At 50.1% G+C, this 20,790-nt stretch overlaps 1 protein-coding gene across 9 annotated transcripts in view, besides 4 other annotated features; it reads left to right on the top strand.

Annotated features, from left to right (window-relative positions):
• ARRB1 (arrestin beta 1) overlaps positions 1 to 20,790 on the top strand; it is a 91,540-nt gene that overhangs the window by 35,123 nt on the left and 35,627 nt on the right. For 4 of the 9 annotated variants that reach the window (XM_011545035.2, XM_017017751.1, XM_011545034.2 and 1 more), the window contains exons 1-2: positions 4,431 to 4,477; positions 6,232 to 6,312. The exons of 4 other annotated variants lie outside the window; for them this stretch is intronic. In XM_011545035.2, the coding sequence (XP_011543337.1) occupies positions 4,446 to 4,477; positions 6,232 to 6,312 (113 nt within the window). In that variant the 5' untranslated portion in view covers positions 4,431 to 4,445. Of the gene's footprint in view, positions 1 to 4,430; positions 4,478 to 6,231; positions 6,313 to 9,838; positions 9,987 to 20,790 lie in introns of those variants that run through there. One more of the 9 variants, XM_017017753.1, reaches the window with a different exon arrangement.
• Positions 1,984 to 2,900: an enhancer, noted in NCBI's record as "H3K27ac-H3K4me1 hESC enhancer chr11:75024683-75025599 (GRCh37/hg19 assembly coordinates)". NCBI's record gives its function as "activates a minimal SCP1, AML or CMV promoter by ChIP-STARR-seq in naive H9 embryonic stem cells {active_cell/tissue: H9 hESC(naive)}" and the evidence as "EXISTENCE:reporter gene assay evidence [ECO:0000049][PMID:30033119]".
• Positions 2,179 to 2,348: a silencer, noted in NCBI's record as "fragment chr11:75025235-75025404 (GRCh37/hg19 assembly coordinates)". NCBI's record gives its function as "represses an EF-1alpha promoter that drives an FKBP-Casp9 reporter gene in an ReSE screen in K562 erythroleukemia cells {active_cell/tissue: K562}" and the evidence as "EXISTENCE:reporter gene assay evidence [ECO:0000049][PMID:32094911]".
• Positions 7,209 to 7,710: an enhancer, noted in NCBI's record as "H3K4me1 hESC enhancer chr11:75019873-75020374 (GRCh37/hg19 assembly coordinates)". NCBI's record gives its function as "activates a minimal SCP1, AML or CMV promoter by ChIP-STARR-seq in primed H9 embryonic stem cells {active_cell/tissue: H9 hESC(primed)}" and the evidence as "EXISTENCE:reporter gene assay evidence [ECO:0000049][PMID:30033119]".
• Positions 12,240 to 13,054: an enhancer, noted in NCBI's record as "H3K27ac-H3K4me1 hESC enhancer chr11:75014529-75015343 (GRCh37/hg19 assembly coordinates)". NCBI's record gives its function as "activates a minimal SCP1, AML or CMV promoter by ChIP-STARR-seq in primed H9 embryonic stem cells {active_cell/tissue: H9 hESC(primed)}" and the evidence as "EXISTENCE:reporter gene assay evidence [ECO:0000049][PMID:30033119]".

Genomic DNA, 20,790 nt, shown 5'->3' with positions numbered 1-20,790 from the left:
GAAGTGCTCAGTGAATAGTCCATTCCTCTTTCCCTTCTGTCGGTTTGCAAGTAGGGAGCTCAGTTTTGAATTAGGAGTTCCTCTAGCCTAGGCTCACTCTGCTGGGGCAGTGCTGGCCCCTTCCTTTAATTGTAAGGAAAACGAAGCCGATCACCTCTTTTCTATAGATGACCAGAGGAGATAAGGACATAACCAGCACTTTTTTTTTTTTTTTGACAGAGTCTCACTCTGTCACCCAGGCTGGAGTGCAATGGTGCAATCTTGGCTCACTGCAACCTCTGCCTCCCGGGTTCAAGCAATTCTCCCGCCTCAGCCTCCCAAGTAGCTGGGATTACAGGCACCCGCCATCATGCCTGGCTAATTTTTGTATTTTTGTAGAGACGGGGTTTCACCATGTTGGCCAGCCTGGTCTTGAACTCCTGATCTCAGGTGATCTGTCTGCCTCGGCCTCCTAAAGTGCTGGGATTACAGGCATGAGCCACGGCACCCCACCTGTAACCAGCTTTGAGGCCCAGAAGCAGAGGCTCCAGAAACAGCTGAGTGCCACCTCTCCAGGTGTCCTCCCTGTTTGGGTCCCACCTGAGGGGTTAATTAAACCCACCCAGCTATATCATAGAGTAGGGGTGGCGTGAGTGTATTTTCCTCTAATTTGGTCTTGAGGTCTCTCTCTGAGAATGGCTATAAATTCTAGCCCTGCTGACGGAGTTCCAGGGCAGGTGTTTGTGGGGGTCCACAGTGTGCCTTTCATGAGATGCTTCTTTATCCTGGTGGATGGTCTGATGCCTAAGTATCCAGCCGTGACCAGGTGTCTCTCTCACAGGAAACTGGCTTATAGTGGAAGGCGCCTTGTGGCTCTTTTCTGACCTGTGTCCGTTTATTCCTACCAAGAAAACCACTCTCTAGGAGAGTACGTGGTCAGGTGAGACACTGAGGAAGTAGCCAGCAAAACCCAGGAAATAACAGAAGCAGAGTATTACTCACAGAGGGGAGGGCAGCGGGAAGCTGCCTGGGACCCCGTGCTTAGCCAGTGAGTTGGAGCAAGAGAGAGATGGGAGGACCTGTGGACTGGAGGCTTTGTTGGGGTGCAAGATGTTACCCACGCAGTTTCTGTGGGTAAATATAATTGCTGGGATTAGAGCAAGCAGGCATAAGGCATGGTGACTGAGGGGGGTCACTGCGGCAAATCCATGTAGCCCATGTGGGTGTGGGGGTCAATGGGCAAGTTAGGTGGCTTCTGTCTGGCTGTCCCATAGCGAGGTGGTCACCAGGAGGAGGTTGCATAAGGCAGATACCTGGATGGATCACATTGAGGAACTGGGAGGAGGCCGAGCACTGGAAGCTGTGTCAAGGGTGACTGAGCCCTGCTTCTGGTACGAGAAAGTCTGACATACTCAGAGTGGGTGCCCAAGCAACATGAAATTGTTAAAATTCACTACAGCGGGTGATCTCCCCCATCCCGCAGCGTGGGGTGGTGGTGGTGGTGGTGGAAGCAGCACTAACTGGGACCCAGGCGTCCCGAGTGCAGGCCCTGCTCTCTCAATGGAAAGAGCAGCTGTCATCTACCACGGGCCTCTCTGTTCACCGGGCACTGAACCAGGTGCTCCACATGCATCAGTGAAGAAAGGCACTGTTGGCTGGGCGTGGTGGCTCACGCCTGTAATCCTAGCACTTTGGGAGGCCGAGGCGGGTGGATCACCTGAGGTCAGGAGTTTGAGACCAGCCTGGGCAACATGGTGAAACCCCATCGCTACAAAAAATACAAAAATGAGCTGGGTGTGGTGGTGTGGCACATGCCTGTAGTCCCAGATACTTGGGAGGCTGAGGTGGGAGGATCACCTGAGCCTGGGGAGGTCAAGGCTGCAGTGAGCTGTGATGGTGCCACTGCACTCCAGCCTGGGCAACAAAGTTTTTTTTCAAAGAAAAAAAAACGTGCTGTTGTTAGAGACGAGAGTCAGAGGTTCAGTTACCCAGCTAGTGAGTGGCAGATCCCAAAGCCTTAACCATTGCTCTGACCTGACTCCCAGAGTGACACTCTGGGGCCTGCAGCAAGTCCTGCCCTTCTGTGGGCCTCATGTTGCCATGCATGCTCTTAAGGGGACACCTTGTGTTCCACAAACCCCCTCTGCTCCAGTGTCCTGGGGTCTGCATTTCTGCTGGAGGGGGGGCATCCCTGGGAGCTGTGCCACCATGCCCTGCGGCATCCAGTCTGCTGTTATCTTTACTAAGAAGATGACTGGCTGACTTGGGCCCTCTTGACTCCAGCCTCCCAGGCCCCTTGCCATTGTGGGCTGACCCCTGGCCCTATCCCTTCCTTACACACAATGGGGAGCAGAGGTGGCCAGGACCCATGGTTTCTCCACCCTGTGTTAGTGGGGCCCCAGGCTGGTGGGACTGGAGTCCTGTGGGAGACCCCGAAGTGAGAAGGAAGTTGGTGGCTCCAGGGAACTGACCAAGGTCAGTGTGGCTGGAGGGTGTGTGGGGGCAGGGAGCATGGTGGGAGGGAGGCTGGAGGCTGGACAGAGGCCAGATTGTGAAGAGCTCTTGGGAGCGGTTAAGAGTTTTTAGGCAGAGGAGGCACGTGATCAGGTTTGCATCTGGAATGACTGAGAAAATGCCTGCAACTGTTAAGGCAGTGTTAGGCACGTAAGAAGCACTCAATAGCCATCAGGCCTGGCTGTGATGCTTTTTCTGTTGCTCATTATGAATACCCAGACTCCACTGCTTACTAGCTGGGAGAACTTGGGCCAGTCACTAACCCGGGGGACCAATTTTCCTTACCAGTAATGCAGAGGGATAAGGAATTTCCTCACAGGGGTTTTATCAGGATCCAAGAGCTAAGTAGGGGATTTCATTTCATCTCAGTTAATCCGGCAAACACTCAGCCAGCCAATCCCAGCTGCACAGCCAGGGCCCTTCCTGTGTGTCACACGCCTCCCTGCTTCTCAGTCAGGACATGGCAGTTCTTAGTCACGGGATCTGGAAGGGCCCAGCTGTAATAAGGCACAAAGCTTAACCTTCTCCAGTTCTCTCTCTTGTCCTCAGCCTTAGCCTACAGTGGCAGACCGCTGCCTCCTCCTCAGACTCTCCCCCTAGCCTGAAGCCTTGGCTGAGGGGCCCCCAACCTTAAGAGCCCATAGAGATTCCCGAAGGACCTGAGGGAGTTATTATTATAATTGTTATTATTTTTTGAGATGGAGTCTCACTCTGTCACGCAGGCTGGAGTGAAGTGGCTCAATCTCAGCTCACTGCAACCTCCACCTGCCAGCTTTAAGCAATTCTCCTGCCTCAGCCTCCCAAGTACCTGGGATTACAGGCAAGAGCCACCACGCCCGTAATTTTTGTATTTTTAGCAGAAACAGGGTTTCACCATGTTGGCCAGGTTGGTTTCGAACTCCTGACCTCAAGTGATCTGCCCGCCTTGGCCTCCCAAAGTGCTGGGATTACAGGTGTGAGCCACCACACCTGGCCTGAGGGAGTTATGAGCCTTCTGTGAGCCTCAGTTTCCTGGTCCGCAGAATGGGAATAAGAATGTCTGTCGTATTAGTCTCCTATTACTCCTGTTACAAATTACCATATATTTAGTGGCTTAAAACAACACAAATATATTCTTTACACTTCTGGAGGTCCAAAGTCCTGAAATGGGTTGTCAGGGCTGTGTCCTCTGGAAACTCTAGCGGGGATCCATTCCCTTGCCTCTGCTGGCTTCCAGAAGCTGTCTGCATGCCTTGGCTCCCAGCCCCATCCTCCAGCTTTGAAGCCAGCAGTGTAGATTTTCGTCTGTCTTTCAATGCTTCCATCACCCCATTGCCTTTACTCTCTCTGACCCTCCTGCCTCCCTCTTGTCAGGACCCTTGTGATGACATTGGGCCCACCCAGGTCATGCAGGATAATCTCTCCATCTCAAGGCCCTGAACAAAATCACATCTGCAGAATCTCTTCTACCACATGACCCAACACAGCCACAGCTCTGGTGATTAGGATGTGGGCATCTCGGGGGGCTGTTACTCAGCCTACCACACACACCTTGCAGAGCAGTTGTGAGGATGACATGAGACAATGAAAGGCTCCCAATGCCTGGGACAGGCAGTCAGTCCCCTTTCTCCTCTCCTGGGGCCTTTGTCTCCCCATCTGTAAGACAAGGTCCCTGGCAGTCCACACAGTCTGAGCCCATGTCCTTCCAGCGTGCAGTACACACAGGCAGACTGTCCCTTCGGCGGTCAGGGGTCCTAGGAAGTGGCAGACTTGAGCCCTGTCCCTGACGCCTCTTCTCCCACTCCTTCCCAGGGGCAGGCCTGTTCTCAGTTCCTGGCGGTGCATTTCCCATCATTCCTAGGGACGGCTGCTGGGAAAGGCTGAGCTCACCACTCCCCGGGGAGGGCGAGGGTGGAGGAAGGAGAAGGGAGAGGCCAGCAGCAGCCACTGCAAGAGATGGGAGAGGAGAGGCCATGGAAGGAGACTTGCAGCGGGAGAGGCTGAGGTGATCAGCACTTAGAGGAGGGGAAGAGGCTGGGCAGGGCCTCCGATCTGGGCCTTCGAGAACGGTCAGCTTTTTCCCAGCCCCTCGGCCCAGGCCCTGCTGCTTGGTTCCTCTGCCGGCCGTCCCCTCTCAGCCAGCCCCTTCTGACAGGCCCTGGTGGCCGGAGGAGTGTGTGTGTATGCTGGGGATGAGAGGAGGGTGTCACAGGCCAGCAGGGGCCGAAGTGGGGTGCTGCCGCCGGACAGGAATTCAGGAATCCCCCACTTCAGTGAGAAGAGGACCATTTCAGCCAGAGTCCACCCCTCACTTCCCTCTACTCAGAAATCAGTCACCGTTTGTTTGCCCTGGGGCTCACCATCTGCCTTCACTGGACCTTACTTTTTTTGTTTGCCTGTGTGTGGCAGGTGGAGGGCCGTGGGAGAGGCAGTTAATAACACCATTATGGGATTTGAGAGGGTGAAACGAGATTGTGATTTTGAACTGATTTTTGAAATGTGCAGTCTGCTATGTAAGGATGTGCATTCCATGCATAGCCTGTTCCTTTAACGTTCTCTTCTGCAATTTGACAATCTGACAAACTCTTCATTGTGCTTCAAGTCCAGCTCAGATGTCACCTGCTCTCTGCAACTTTCTCAACAGCCCCCTGCCCATCCCAGAAAGAATGGAGCTGCTCCTTTCTCGGAATTGCTGTGGCCTCTTAATTTTTTTAATTTTTATATTTTCTTGAGACAGAGTTTCACTCTTGTTGCCCAGGCTGGAGTGCAACGGCACCATCTCAGCTCACTGCAACCTGTGCCTCCCGGGTTCAAGTGATTCTCCTGCCCCAGCTTCCCAAGTAGCTGGGATTACAGGCATGTGCCACCACGCCAGGCTAATTTTGTATTTTTAGTAGAGACGGGGTTTCACCATGTTGGTCAGGCTGGTCTCGAATTCCTGACCTCAGATGATCTGCCTGCCTTGATCTTTCAAAGTGCTGGGATTACAGGCATGAGCCACCGCGCCTGGCCCTGTGGTCTCTTTATAACCCTCTCATAGGGTGCCTTTGGTAGGCTGGGTATTGGTTTGGACATCTGTCTCCCCTACCCTATGTGGGCAGTACATTTGTAACAGACCCTTCTGCTCCTTAAGGTCACTGTGGTTGTGGTGGGACAGAGGCAGTGTGGCAAAGGCAATTGGGGAGCCGGCCTCCTGGGGTCTGGCCTGTACAAAGTTGCCACATGTCAGTCCAGCCCTTAGAATTGAGCAGACCACATGACTGACTCAATCAGATTCACATGAACCTGAGCTAAAAGCAGGCAACCAAATCATTCAGGTCCTTCTCTCTCTGTGGCATGAATGCCCATGCCCACTGCCTCCTGCTGATAATCAGACAGCACAGGGGCTGAGTTGCTCATGAGGTTTCCTCATGAGGGTGAAATGTGAGCCAAAGGAAGGTGCTGAAGGAAAGGCCATCTAGGTCTTAAGGAAGCACATTCCGTAAGCTCATCCACCACACTCCAAACCCCGTGGGAAGCCTGTGTCCCACTGCCTGGTGCCGGTTGGATACACAGAGAGTATAAAATAAATGTTGGAAACAATGTAGCATGGTGACCAAAGGCTCCTCCGCTTCCTGCAGGTGTTCTTACATGCGATTCCTTATACCTTTTCCCCCCTGCTAGACTTTAAGCCCCACAGAGGCAGGGCCCTGGATGGCCTTGTTCCCCTTGGTGTTCCCAGTGCCTCTCAGTGCACTCACCTACCTATGTTGAACCCAGGTTACATGCCAGGCGCATACAGACGTTGGCCTTTCATCCCCCTCAACACCCTGGAGCAGGCTGTGTTGCCCTATTATCCAGGTGAGGACAGGAAAGGTAAGATGCCATGTCCAAACATAGCCATTAAATACCAGGGGAGAGAGCGAGACCCCATTCCCCATTGCTCCCCACATCGATTTCCATTTGCGCAGTTCTCCCCGAGGTTTGGGATCAGATGGCTTGAGCTTCTAGGTTGTGGCAGGCAGAGCTGGTTCTGGGAAGGTCACTCCAGATAGGTTGGTGGCTAAGAGGGCCAGCACCGTTCCTCCTGCGGGCTTCTTACTACCCCTCCTGAAGCCATAAAAGGGAACTGTTTTGAGGAGCAAGTGGAAGGTTTGGGGGTTGCATATTACCAAGTCCCAGTGTATGTCTGGGGAATGGTCTGGAGATGCTCTAGAATGCTCCTCCCCTGCTCCCTGCCTCACTGAGGCACAGCTGCTCTTGGTTGGCTTTGCTGTGCCCACCTTATCTGCAAGGCCTGTGTATTCTTGGAAGTAATGGAAATGCATTTATTTAAAATGCTCAATAATTCAGCCTTGTCCTAATATCAGGCCTTTGTCTCTGCTCAGCACTCTGGTCTCCCCAGGACTCCTCATATACCCATTATTTCCTCCCACCTACCTAGCCTCCTGTGAGGTAATGTGACCCCCAGTGACAGCACGTAAGCCAGCTGAAGCCAAGATGGACAAGGACCTGCCCAAGGCCACCAGTGGGTCCGCTTGCTGTGGTAGGGGTTAGTATTCTCACCATTCACAGAGCTCCAACTCTGTGCCAGGGCCTCATTTCACTCAAGACGGCTGCGTTGCAGGGTGATGAGGCTACAGGCCTGCCTGACCCTAAGCCTGTGCCCTTAACTCCTTTATGATGCACCTTCTCTGTGCCAAGCACAGGCCTTGCCCTGGAGGAGCTCCCATCCTGGGGGGCAAGTTCTCAAATGAATGATTCCCACCAAGGCAGGGGTGTGAAATAGGTGCCCTCAGAGAGGCCTGGCAAAGCTCCCTGAGGGAGCAGGGCTTGGGCCCTCTCCTCCAGGGATCCCTGCAATGTGGGGTCAGGCCCACCAGGCAGGCTGCCTGAGCACTTTGATGCTGGCTGCGCCCATTTGTGGGCCTCTGGCCTCCCCAGGCCACCTTCTGAGAGCACAGGGAGCTGTGTGGGCCAGAAAAGGAGCAGGGGCTTTGGGGCCGCCAGGCGGGCGTTGCCTCCCCTGAACTGGGTAACTTTTCTCTTCCCCTCCCTAGCCTCCAGTTTCCAATTCTGTAAAATGAGGATACTGGCTTTTTCTCCTTGAGTTATCCTTGAGATTAAACATAAATATTTAAAGTACCTAGCACATGACAAATTAACAAATGGTATGTCTTAAAATAATCACTGGGCATGATGGCATGTACCTGTAATTGCAGCTACTCAGGACGCCGAGGTGGGAGGCTCACTTGCGCCCAGGAGATCAAGACCAGCTAGGGCAATATAGTGAGACCCTTTCTCCAGAAAAAAATATTACTGTAGGGCTATTTTTTTTTTTTTGAGATGGATTCTCACTCTGTCGCCAAGGCTGGAGTGCAGTGGTGCTATCTTGGCTCACTGCAACCTCCGTCTCCCAGGTTCAAGCAATTCTCCTGCCTCAGCCTCCCGAATAGCTGGCATTATAGGTGTGTGCCATCACACCCAGCTAATTTTTTTTATTTTTAGTAGAGACAGGGTTTCACCATGTTGGCCAGGCTGGTCTTGAATTCCTGACCTCGTGATCCACCCGCCTTGGCTTCCCAAAGTGCTGGGATTATAGGCGTGAGCTACTGTGCCAGGCCAAATTTCTTAATAAGAAAATATGCCCAGATTGTTACCAAAATCCAGTCAGATTGCTTTTCAGTGAACAGGCATTCAGTAAACATTTACTTAGTGCTGTCTCTGGGCTCGCTTGGGCCTTGGTCATGGGGCCTGGTTTCAAATGCTGGCTCAGCGACTCCCTGGCTCTACTCAGTGGCCTGAGCTCCTGGGCCTTGGTTTCTGCCTCTTGCTTATGGCCCCTGGGGCCTCTGGTGAGACTGAGCTCATAAAGTGTCGGCAAAGTACTTTGTGGATCGATGCTAACTAATAGCAGTTCCCTGGAGCTGCCGTGAGTAGGAAAGATGACTGTGGAAGTTGCTTGGGCCGGGCTCAGGGCTGGCACCCAGGGAGGGCCAGTGTTGTCCTCACAGTGGGACTAAGGAAGGGCCTGCTATCCCCTGTCCCTGATGCTTTATTCCACTTTAGCCAGGAGTGGGTGCTGATAAAGTTTGATGATGGGGATGGTGCTATCCATGGCCACGGGGGAAGAGGCTTGCTCAGTTACTGGCAGAGCCAGGTGTGGATACCCATCTGGGTCACATCCAGCCAGAGCTGGAGCCATGGCCTGTCCTGGGATCCTCTTGTCAGGGATCCCCCTGTTGCCCCCTGCCATCTCTCCAGAGGTTGCTGGCCTCTGCCCAGACACACAGCTGACATAAATATGGCATGGTGGCTTCAGTTCAATGGAGAGCATAAATGGGGAGTTGGAGTGGGACCCTGGGCAGGGGAGGGTGTGAGCAAGACTCCCTGTCAGTTCTGCTCCAGAGGGAAGACCTTCCCCGTGTGTTAGACTGAGCTGAAGTCTGTCCTGGGAGCTTCTGGGGAGAGGGAGCAGATGGGGATCGTGCCCTCTGGGAGCTCCTGGTGTGATGGAGGAGGCATGGCCCTGTCCTCCAGGACACTCCTGTCTGATGGGGCACCATGACTTCTGTTTCCTGGGACTCTCTGTGTAACAGAGGGGACACAGTCCTCTTGTTCTGTAGGAGCTGTGTGCCTGAGGAATGAAGCATGGCCTCCATCCTGCAGGAGCCTCCAATCTGATGGGGGATCCATGGCCACTTCCCTCAGAGAGATTCCCTATTTGAGAGAGGAGCCCTGACCTCTGTCCTCAGGAAGGACCCCTGTCTGATGGAGGCTCATCTTGTCCTCTCACTCAAGAAACCCCATTTATGGCCTTCACCTTTGACCCCTTCACTTTGACCCCTTCCGCTCCCTGATTCATGGGGAGCTCAGGTCCCACAGGCAGCAGCTACGGACGGAGATGGGCACTTATAAACTTGGCTGCTGTGGGGCAGGGAGGAAGGGAAGACAGGAGACTCCTTACAGGAGACTGCAAGAAGGCCCTCTGCAGCAAGTGAGGGTGACATAGAAGCCTTCCTGGTGAAGGTGTCTGTATGGGATCCTCTGATGGACAGGAGGTGCCTGGCTGTGACAAGTACCCACTGGGGATAAGGGGTAAGGGCTCCCCCAGGCTGGAAGGGAAACTTGAGGGGTCACTCTGGTGAGCCCCTGTCTCCATGCAGGCTGGACTGCTGGAATGGAAAGTGGTCTAGGGAGACCGTCACCATCCTTGGGGAGACCCTCACCCCCTGCCCGTCTGTGTACAGGCAGAGTGCTGCCAGCCCAGGGACATCCGCCCTCCATGGCCCGAGAAGCCCGGAGGAGGAGAGGAAACAGGACGCGTATCAGGAACGCCTTTTCCTTTTCTTTGTAACTAACCCCTCACTTGGGGCTGGGGAGAGCTGAGCCTGCGGGGCTGGCCCTGGCCTGGCTGCTGCTGCCTGCAGCCCCCAGCTCAGGCTCCCTCCACCTCACAGTCCACTGCTTTGGCGCTGCTTCTGGGCTGGCCTCTTCACTCCACTGAATCTTTGGGCTCTCATCTGTAAAATGGGGTAAGACTTTCTATCTGACTCACCAGGAAGTTTGCTTTTCCTCTCTTTCTGGGATTTACATGATTTCTTCCTCTCTCCATGAGATGTGCATTGAGTGCTTCCTGCGCACCAGCCTCTGGCATAGGTGGGGATGGAGAACACAGGGAGGAACAGTGCGGGGTGGAGATGGGGGAAGGCTGTTTGGGACTTGTCTAAGGAGTTGGGGGACATCGAGTAGAAATGTCTGAAGGCTGATGGGTGGGGGTCAGAGAGGGTCTGGCTGGAGACGAGGTTTGGACTTACTGGCATCGGTGGCAGCTGAAGTGGTCAGGTGGGTGGAGTTGCCCAGGGAACTCCTTTTCATGGGCTCTGGGAAGGGGCCAAGGTCAGACTCAGCTCTGGAGTCTCCTGAGAGCTGGGCACAGAGCAGGGATGGGGAGTCAGGTGGCCAGGGCCTCCAGCGGGACTGAAATGGGGTCAGTGGGTTTGGTGCTTCTTGTGAGGGTTGAGACCTTTGCCTTTGCAGTGTGGTGTCGGGGTGTGCGGGGAAGGGTGGATCACAGAGGATGAGGAGGGAGTAAAGGTGAAGGTGCTCAGATATCAAGGAATTTGGTCAGTCAGGTTGTCATTCTTTTGCTTGTGTTTGTCATTATTCAAATTATTCCCCTGCTGACTGAAGGGCTACTGTGGGGTGCATGTTTAGTCGGTTATATGCTGTGTGCATGTTGTATATGTGGGGGTTTGTAGACAAGATGTGTGTGTGGAGTGTGATGCAGGTGTGTTACTGTTTAGTATTTGTGTATGTCTTTCTGTGCATGGTGTGTAGAGTGCGTGCACACGACCACATTCAGATCCTTGATCCATACAGCAGGCTGGTGCTGAGTCGTCTGCCTAGGCTGGAAACTGGGAAGGATTCATCAAGCTTGTGAATTTATCTTCTCTACTTAGGGTTACACCCAACAGTGTGCTGGTAACAACTGGCCCTCCAGAAAAAAAGAAGGGTGGGGGATTTTAGCATCTGCCAATTTCTGTGATGTAAATACTCTGACTTCAGATTTCACTCTACCAGTGTGAAGTCACTGAATGTGCAGTTGGGAAGAGATGAACAGTAGACACCATTGTATAGCATTTCCACCATACAGGTATAGTAGGCATAAATACCCTTGAGGGTATGATAGTAACAACAGTAAAATAATTAGTATGTAATCAGTTTTGAAAATGCATTCCTGGGCCAGGCATGGTTTCTTATGCCTGTAATTCCAGCACTCTGGGAGGCAGAAGCTGGAGGATCACTTGAGGTCAGGAGTTCAAGACCAGCCTGGCCAACATGGTGAAACTCCGTCTCTACCAAAAAAAAAAAAAATACAAAAATTAGCTGGGTGGGCGTGGTGGCACATTACCTGTAATCCCAGCTACTTGGGAGGCTGAGTCACGAGAATTGCATGAACCCAGGAGGTGGAGGTTGCAGTGAGCCGAGATCATGTCACTGCATTCCACATTCTAGCCTGGGCAACAGAGCAAGACTCTTGTCTCAAAAAAAAAAAAAAAAAAAAAAGAAAGAAAGAAAAGAAAAGAAAAGAAAATGCATTCCCTTTGCTTTTAATAGAGTTTATTTAATTGTAAGTTCACATTAGGATTTCTATTTTTCTTTTTTTTAAACTTTTTTTTTTCCTCTCTCTTTTTAAAGACAGGTTGTTGCCCAGCCTGGTCTCAAACTCCTGGGTTCAAGCGATCCTCCCACTTCAGCCTCCCAGAGTGCTGGGATTGCAGGCATGAGCCACTGCTCCAAGCAGGGTTTCTCAGCATCAGCACCATAACATTTTGGTCTGGAGATCCTTTGCGGGGGGTTTGGGGGGACTGACATGTGCATTATGCAGGCAGCATCCTTGGCCTCTACCTACTAGATGTTAGTAGCACCTCTTCCCCAAATCATGACAGCCCACAATGTCTCCAGACATTGCCAGGTGTCCCCTGGGGTGCAAATTCGCCCCCGGCTGAGAACCAACGGTACTGGCTGTGTTTAACAACTACCTCACAAAATTCTTAAAAATGTGACACTTGGCTCTTATGAGCCTGTACAAGCCAGCTCAGCACACCGTGGGCACCCCATCCAGATAAATATAAGGCAGTTTTTTTCCCCCACAACTATTTCCCTGGAAAAAGCTGGCACCTTAGGCCTTAGATTTCAGTCTGTATGGAGTCCCTGACCACAGAGAACCCTCTCGGCTTACTGACTGATCCACAGAGCAGTGGACACAGAGTCAGAGATATGCTGCCATAGTGGATCTGTTGTGACATTTTATGAAATGTGAGAATAGGAAGAAATTAATGATGTTTTTGAATTAATATCTTATTTTAACATATGTTATTCTATATCCTTAAAAGTTTGCATGTTGAAATTGGCAAAACAAACAAACCAAACAAAAACCCCCTTTAAATAAAATCTTTCCGCTGGGAAAATAATGGCCTGTCTTGTGTCAGGAGTGCCCTATAGCTAATGGGTTCCCGCCAAGACTGCGCATCCATGGTGCTCATCCAGATGGCAAGGCTGCCGCTTCTTGGCCCAGGTCCTATTTTTTCCCAGCCTCAAGCTCAGGGCTTGGCTCTTGTTTATTCATTCAAAATCTTTATTAAGCACCTACTATGTACCAAGGAACATAAGTGACTGAAGTCGCAGTTTCTGTTCCCTGGGGTTTGCCATCATTTCAGTTCCGTGGCATCCACTCAGGAGCAGCCATGTGCAGGCCCTGTTTGGATGCTCAGGGGCCAGCAGGAGAGGGAGGGAAAGATGCACATGTGTGCTGGGTGCCTGGTGGTGCCTGGAACGGAACTGGGCACATCACACATGCACCTCCTCCCACCCTCCCACTGTGCTTTTGAGGGAGGGCTTGCTTGTTCACTGAGTGTCTGCCTTCCGCTGCCCTGTAGGTGCTCTGGGGAAACAACACCGACACCGGGGCCTGTACCTTCTGCAGGTAAAAACAGCCCCAGGCCCAGAGATTTGAAAAATAAAGGGAAGAAAAGAAAGGAGGGAAATAAGAAAGACGAATGGAAGGAAGCAAAGGAGGGAGCAAGGGCAGAGGAGTCAGGGCAAGAGCACTTTAAGCCAAGGCAGTCAAGGAGGGCTTCTTGGGTGAGGTGACGCTGGGACTGTGTGAAGGATGGGAAGGGGCTGCAGTTGGTAGAACTGATGCAAAGGATAGTACAGGAAGAGGGAAGAGCAGGGCACGCACCTGGAAATTTCTGGAATGTGGATGTCTACACTGGGAAAAAGTGGGGCACAGTGGCTCACACCTGTAATCCCAACACTTTGGGAGGCTGAGATGGGCGGATCACTTGAGGTCAGGAGTTTGAGACCAGCCTGGCCAACATGGTGAAACCCTGTCTCTACTAAAAACACAATAATTAGCCGGGTGTGGTGGTGTGCACCTGTAATCCCAGCTACTCTGGAGGCTGAGGCAGGAGAATTGCTTGAGCCCAGGAGGCGGAGGTTGCAGTGAGCCAAGATCATGCCACTCCACTCCAGCCTGGGTGACAGAGCGAGACTCCATCTCCAAATAATAATAATAATAATGATAATAATAATCTGGGGGAAAAACATCATAAATTGTGTTTTCTACCCAAGACTGTAGGGAGACAGACAGTTTAAACATTTCCCTGTCCCAGCAGGAGTAACATGACCATCTCCTCCCACCCGCAAGGCTTTCTCACCTGAGGGACACTTGGGGGAGAACTCTCCCTGAGCAGGGGGTGGGGGCAGGACACTGGCCAGGATAATGATGATGACAATTTCATAGTATCATAGCACAATGTCAGCTTCCCTGTGTTGAGTCACTACTGGGGATCAAGTTTTTACACCTATCCCCAGCCTATGGGGTGGATATTATCCCCATTCTCTAGGCGAAGGAAGCTGAGCCTTCCAGAGGATAGGAAATGGGCCTGAGGTCACACTGGGCTCAAGCAGAGACTCAGGCAGGGACTGTCTGCTTCAGCCTCTGGGCCCTTTTGGCTGCCAGCAACCTTCTCTTCCTGCATCTCAGCCCCAGGAAGGCTGGGCAGCGCTCAGGCGCAGTCTGTGGGCTCTTTGGTATCCAGCTGCCAGCCCGCCTGGGGAAATTTTGATTAGCCCTTGATTTTCAGATCTCCAGCTTCATGGGTTAACAGAAAATAAGCCAAGCTCTTTTAAGAAACTCTCCCCTCTGTCCATGGCCCCCTCTTTCCTCACTCTGCACCACCTGAGAATTTTCAAAAATATGCTTCATGGCCAAAGAAGTGAACCCGTGAATGCGGCAGGAGGCTTGGGGAATTGCTGTCGGCCTAGAAGTCTGTGGGAAGTCTGCAGCCCAGGAGTCTGACTTGGCCAGAACCCCTCACTCCCCAGCCACCACCCCTGACCCCTCTGGCCTGCCAGGCACTGCCCTGTGCCCTGGGAGCTATGGCAGATTTGAGCAGGGATGTGACAGGAGACGGGAACCACAGAAGCCGGCGGTCCCCATCCCAGTCTGACTCTGGGCACACTAGCGAGTCTCCCTGAGCCCAAGCTTCCTGGCCCTGGTGTGAGACTCTTCTCTCACTCGGGCTTTGATTTCTCCCTCTGGGAAATGAAGCAGGTGGGACTGTGCTCCCTCAGGCTCCGGAAATCTCTGAAATGGGGTGACATTTCTTGCCTTCCTGCCTCCTTCCCCCTCCTGGGCTGTCCTGAGAAGCAGGTGCACTGATGGTGGGTAAACAGAAGGGCCACACTCTGACACAGGGAGGGCTGGGAAATTCTGGCAGAGCAGACGAGCCGGTACACAAATAACTCTGCTACCAGGGAGAATGCGATAAGGGCCTAGGAACCTCTCTGCAGCCGCTGCCACCTGCTCCCCGCACCTCCCTGCTCCCTGATGGCTGCTCTCACACTGAGGAAAGTGGGTCAGAATGTAGGGTGGCTGCGTCTGAGTGAATGCCCCCTTGCGTCTCCCCACCCTACCCAGCTGAGCCATGGCTGCTATTGGACAGGGATGGGGGAACGTATGGGATTGAGGGCATCTCTGGGTCCAAAATATGGCCCTGGCCAGTCATTCTCCCTCCCCTCAAATGTGCATGGCTCCCTATTGCCTTCTGGATAAGGTCCAAGTTCCTTAGCCCGGCACTCAAGGCCCTTCACAGCCCTACCCTCCTAGCCGAAGGCCCTCACATAGAGGTGCTCCGTGATTCTCTGTGGAGCAAACGGACCATTCTCCAGCCCAGCCTCTTCCCCTGGGGCTCCTCCCAGGCACTTGGGGCACACTCCAGCCACACCAGAGGCTCGCTGTCTCCTGAGCACCTGGTGGATTCAGTTGCCCTCTCCAGGCCTCTGCCTGCAGTGTGGTCACCTTCTGCACCTTGTGTGTCCTTCAAGATCTTCCTCATTGCTACCTCCTCCCTTGAAGGCTTTTTTTTTTTTTTTGAGATGGAGTCTCGCTCTGTTGCCAGGCTGGAGTGCAGTGGCATGATATTGGCTCACTGCCACTTCCTCCTCCTGGGTTCAAGCGATTCTCCTGTCTCAGCCTCCAGAGTAGCTGGGACTACAGGCGCCCACGACCATGCCTAGCTAATTTTTGTATTTTTTTTTTTTTTTTTTTGAGACGGAGTCTCGCTCTGTCGCCCAGGCTGGAGTGCAGTGGCGCGATCTCGGCTCACTGCAAGCTCCGCCTCCCGGGTTCACGCCATTCTCCTGCCTCAGCCTCCCGCGCAGCTGGGACTACAGGCGCCCGCCACCACGCCCGGCTAATTTTTTTGTGTTTTTTAGTAGAGACGGGGTTTCACTGTGTTAGCCAGGATGGTCTCGATCTCCTGACCTCGTGATCCGCCCGCCTCGGCCTCCCAAAGTGCTGGGATTACAGGCGTGAGCCACCGCGCCCGGCCCTAATTTTTGTATTTTTAGTCGAGATGGGGTTTCACCATATTGGCCAGGATGGTCTCAATCTCTTGACCACATGATCCGCCCACCTCGGCCTCCCAAAGTGCTGGGATTAAAGGTGTGAACCACAGCGGCCAGCCCTGAAGGCTTTTTTGACTCCCCAGACAGAACCACATAATCCCACCTCTCAGGCAGTATTGTGAGTGATTAAAAGTGTGGTCTCTGGAGCTGGAGTATCTGGGCTCTGATATCTAGCTCTGTTGCTTACTTGCTGTGTGACCCTAGGCAAATTACTTAACCTCCCTGTGCCTCAGTTTTCTCATCTGTGAAATGGGATGATAGTAACACTTATTATAGAGTTGTTGGAGAAATAAGTGAGTTAATATTTGTAACTCACTTACAGCAGTAACTGGACCTGGTTTCTCTCCTGGATAACCTGGATAAGCTTTCTTTTCTTTCTTTCTTTCTTTTTTTTTTTTTTTTTTTTGAGACAGAGTCTCACTGTGTTGCCCAGGCTGGAGTGCAGTGGTGCAATCTCAGCTCACTGCAACCTCGCCTCCTGGGTTCAGTGTTTCTCCTGCCTCAGCCTCCTGAGTAGTTGGGATTACAGGCACGTGCCACCACACCCGGCTAATTTTTGTATTTTTAGTAGAGACAGGGTTTCACCATGTTGGCCAGGCTGGTCTCAAACTCCTGACCTCGTGATCTGCCCCCCTCGGCCTCCTAAAGTGCTGGGATTACAGGCGTCAGCCACTGCGCCTGTCCTACCACCATCTTTTTAAACTTCATCCATCCTCATACTTGAATAATTCTCTTAGGGCATTCATTTAACCATAGTCATCCTATATTTATTTATTGAGCACCTACTATATCCTAGGTACCATGCTATGCCCCAGAAATACAGTGAATATAACACAAATAATATCTCTACTTTCATTGTTGCTATAAAAGTGAAGCAGAGGGTGTTATCAGACCATTACAAAGTATGGTAAGTGCTATGAATGGGGACACACTGGATGTGGAGCTGAGGGGCTCCTAACCCAGACTTAGAGGGTAGTCAGGGAAGGCTTCCTGGAAAAAGGATAGCTGAGTATACGATACATTAGGCCTGGGGAGGGATCTCAGGATTCACAGAAACATGGATCCTGGATTGTAAAATCACAGAACCAGAGACTCTTACATCAAAGCATTCAGAGTTTAGGGTCCAGATTTTCCCTACTTCACTTACTTTTTTTTTTTTTTCCTAGATTCTCCTTTCTCCAAGACTTGAGACATATCTTGTTAGGGAAATCCAAGCATCTTTATAAAGTACTTTATGCTCATTGTATAACAGAAAAATTATAGGTATAAAGAAGCGTGTGGGTGGGCGGAGTCTTCTTCAACTCCTGTCAGTATTTAGGCACATTTCCTTTTTTTCATTCTCTCTGTCTTTTTTTAGTTGTTTTTTTTTTTAATTGAGATGTAATATACCATAATATTCACACTTTTAGGGTAAAATTCAGTGGTTTTTGTATATATTCACAAGTTTGTATAACCATCACCACTATCCAATTCCAGAACATTTTCATCACCTCCCAAAGAACTCTGTACCAATTAGCAGTCACTCCCCATTTCCCACTCCCATCAACCCTTGGCAACCACTAATTTACCTTCTGTCTCTATCAATTTGCCTACTCTGAACATTTAATGCAAGTGGAATCATATAATATGCAGCCTTCTGTTAACAGAATTATGTTAATTATGTTAAATTAACATAATTAACATTATGTTAATTTACTTAACATAATGTTTTCAAGGTTCATTATGTTGTAGCATGAATCAGTACTTCATCCCATTTTATGCCTATGTACTATTCCATTGTATGTATAGACTGAATTTTAAAAAAATACATGTATTCATTGATAGATTTTTTTTTTCACTCTTTTTGGCTATTTTGAATAATGCTGCTACAAACATTTATGCATAAGTTTTTTGTGTGGACATTTTCAGTTACTTTGGGTGTATACCCAGGAGGGGACTTACTGGGTCATATGTTAACTCTCGGTTTAACTTTTAAAGGAACTGCCAAACTGTTTTTCAAAGTGACGGCCCCACTTTCCATTCCCACCAGCGATGTATGAAGTTTCCAGTTTCTCCACACTCCTGTCCACACTTATTATCCTTCCTTTTGAGTATAGCCATCTTAATGGGTGTGAAGTGTATCATTGTAGTTTTGACTGATGACTGATGATGCTGAACATCTTTTCATGTGTTTAGTGGCCACTTGAATATCTTCTTTGGACAAATGCCTATTCAAACAAATCCATTGCCCATTTAAAAATGGGTGATTCACCTGTTTGTTGTTGAGTTGTAATAGTTCTTTATATATCCTGGCTATTAGGACCTGATCAGATAAATGATTTGAAAATATTTGCTCCATTCAGTGGGTTTCTTTTTTTTTTTTTTTTAATTATACTTTAAGTTCTAGGGTACATGTGCACAACGTGCAGGTTTGTTACATATGTATACATGTGCCATGTTGGTTTGCTGCACCCATCAACTCGTCATTTACATTAGATATTTCTCCTAATGCTATCCCTCCCCCAGCCCCCACCCCCCAATATTCTCTTTCTTGACAGTGACTTTTGAAGCACAAAAGTTTTAAAATTTTGTCTATTTTTTCTTCAGTTGCTTGTGCTTTTGGTGTCATATCTAAGAAACCATTGCTTAACCCAAGGTCATGAAGACTTACACTTAACGTTTTCTGCTAAGAGTTTTATAGCTGCAGCTTTTACATTTAGGTCTTTGGTCCATTTAATTTTTTTTTTTTTTTTTTTTTTTTTTTTGAGACAAAGTCTTGCTCTCTTACCCAGGCTGGAGTGCAGTGGCATGATCTCAGCTCACTGCAACCTCCGCCTCCTGGGTTCAAGCGATTCTCCTGCCTCAGCCTCCCAAGTAGCTGGGATTACAGGTGCCTGCCACCACACCTGGCTAATGTTTGTATTTTTAGTAGAGGCAGGGTTTCACCATGTTGGCCAGGCTGGTCTCGGACTCCTGACCTCAGGTGATCTGCCCGCCTCAGCCTCCCAAAGTGCTGGGATTACAGATGTGAGACACAGCGCCCGGCCCCATTTGAGTTAATTTTTGTACGTGATGTGAGGTCGGGATCTAACTTTGTTTTTTTTTGTGCGACTATCCAGTTGTCCTAGCATCATTTGTTGAAAACAATGTTCTTTCCCCATTGACTTGCCTTGGCTCCTTTGTAAAAAAATCTATTGACCATAAATATATGAGTTCATTTCTAGACTCTCAATTATATCCCATTGATCTATATGTCTGTTTTTATGCCAGCACAATATAGTCTTGATTACTGTAGCTTTGTGGTAAGTTTTGAAAATGGGAAGTGTGAGTCTTCTAACTTGGTTCTATTTTTTTTTTTTTTCAAGATAGTTTGGCTATTCTGGATCCCTGGCATTTCCTTATGAATTTTAGGATGAGCTTCTCAGTTTCTGCAAAAAAGCTAGCTACGATTTGATAAAGATTACATTGAATCAATTAGGGGAGCGTAGGCATCTTAACATCAAGTCTTCTCATTTATTTCTTTTGGGTATTTATTGAGTGTAAAGTTCAGCTCATGCCAAACGTACTATTCTGATTCCTGACTTACTCTGCTTAATATTCTATGATAGGCATTTCCTTGTGTTATCAAAGATGGAAACCTAATTTCAGTGCTGTATAATATTCCATTGTTGGCTGGGCACAGTGGCTCACACCTGTAATCCCAGCACTCTGGGAGGCAGAGCTTAGAAGTTCGAGACCACCCTGGACAACATGGTGAAACCCCATCTCTACTAAAATACAAAAAATTAGCTGGGCATGGTGGCATGCACCAGTAATCCCAGCTACTTGGGAGGCTGAGGCAGGAGAATCGCTTGAGCCTGGGAGATGGAGGTTGCAGTGAGCCTCGCTGGTGCCGCTGTACTCCAGCCTGGGTGACAGAGTGAGACTCCATCTCAAAAAAAAAAGGAAAAAAAATTCCTTGTTTAGCTGATCATATAGAATTAGAAAATCTTGTTTTGGTGTAATCAGTCTTGGAAGGTACTTCATTTGGGTTCCTTGTTGTGTAGCCCTCTCCCTGACAGGCACAAAGGGACACTGGGAGGACTGATGGCTCACAGAAGAGCAGTGAAATATTAGTGTCAAAGTTGGTCCACAGGTACCCTATGCTGCAGGTGGGGAATGAGGCTCACTGGAGAAACTGACATTCTGGTTCATGGAGAGTTGACCTACCTGTCTTCCTGGCGGCACCACCTTGATGGAATGGAATCAGAAGACAGCATCCAGCAGTCTGCACAGACACGGATAGGGCATGTTTGGTTTAGGCATGTTTTTCTAGAACAGCGGATCTGAAACATTTTTAAATTTGCAGCATGAAATTCATTTTACATTGTAATTCAGTACACACACATTCACCTGAAACAAACATTTTGCTAAATAATACTCTTTTTTTTTTTTTTTTTTTTTTGAGACAAAGTCTTACTCTGTCGCCCAGGCTAGAGTGCAGTGGTGCGATCTCAGCTTACTGTAACCTCTGCCTCCCGGGTTCAAGTAATTCTCATGCCTCAGCCTCCTGAGTAGCTGGGATTACAGGCATGTGCCACCACACCTGGCTAATTTTTTGTATTTTTAGTAGAGACAAGGTTTCACTGTGTTCACCGGGCTGGTCTCAAACTCCTGGCCTCAAGTGATCCGCCCGCCTCAGCCTCCCAAAGTGTTGGGATTACAGGCATGAGCCACTGTGCCCAGCCAATACTCACTTTTTGTATCAGCCAGGAGAAGCTAGCCTGTGGCCGGTAAGAACCCCCAAATCTTAGTGGCTCAAGAGCTTTCATTCTCCCTTATGCTACACATCTGTCATGTAGTGGGACAGCCCTGGGATTTAGGTTGATGGAGGCTTTCTCA

This window comes from Homo sapiens, chromosome 11 (assembly GCF_000001405.40).
Source record: "Homo sapiens chromosome 11, GRCh38.p14 Primary Assembly".
In the NCBI taxonomy this organism is placed as follows: Eukaryota; Metazoa; Chordata; class Mammalia; order Primates; family Hominidae; genus Homo; species Homo sapiens.
Note: the sequence above shows the minus strand (reverse complement) of the source record. Positions and strands in the feature narration are given on the sequence as shown.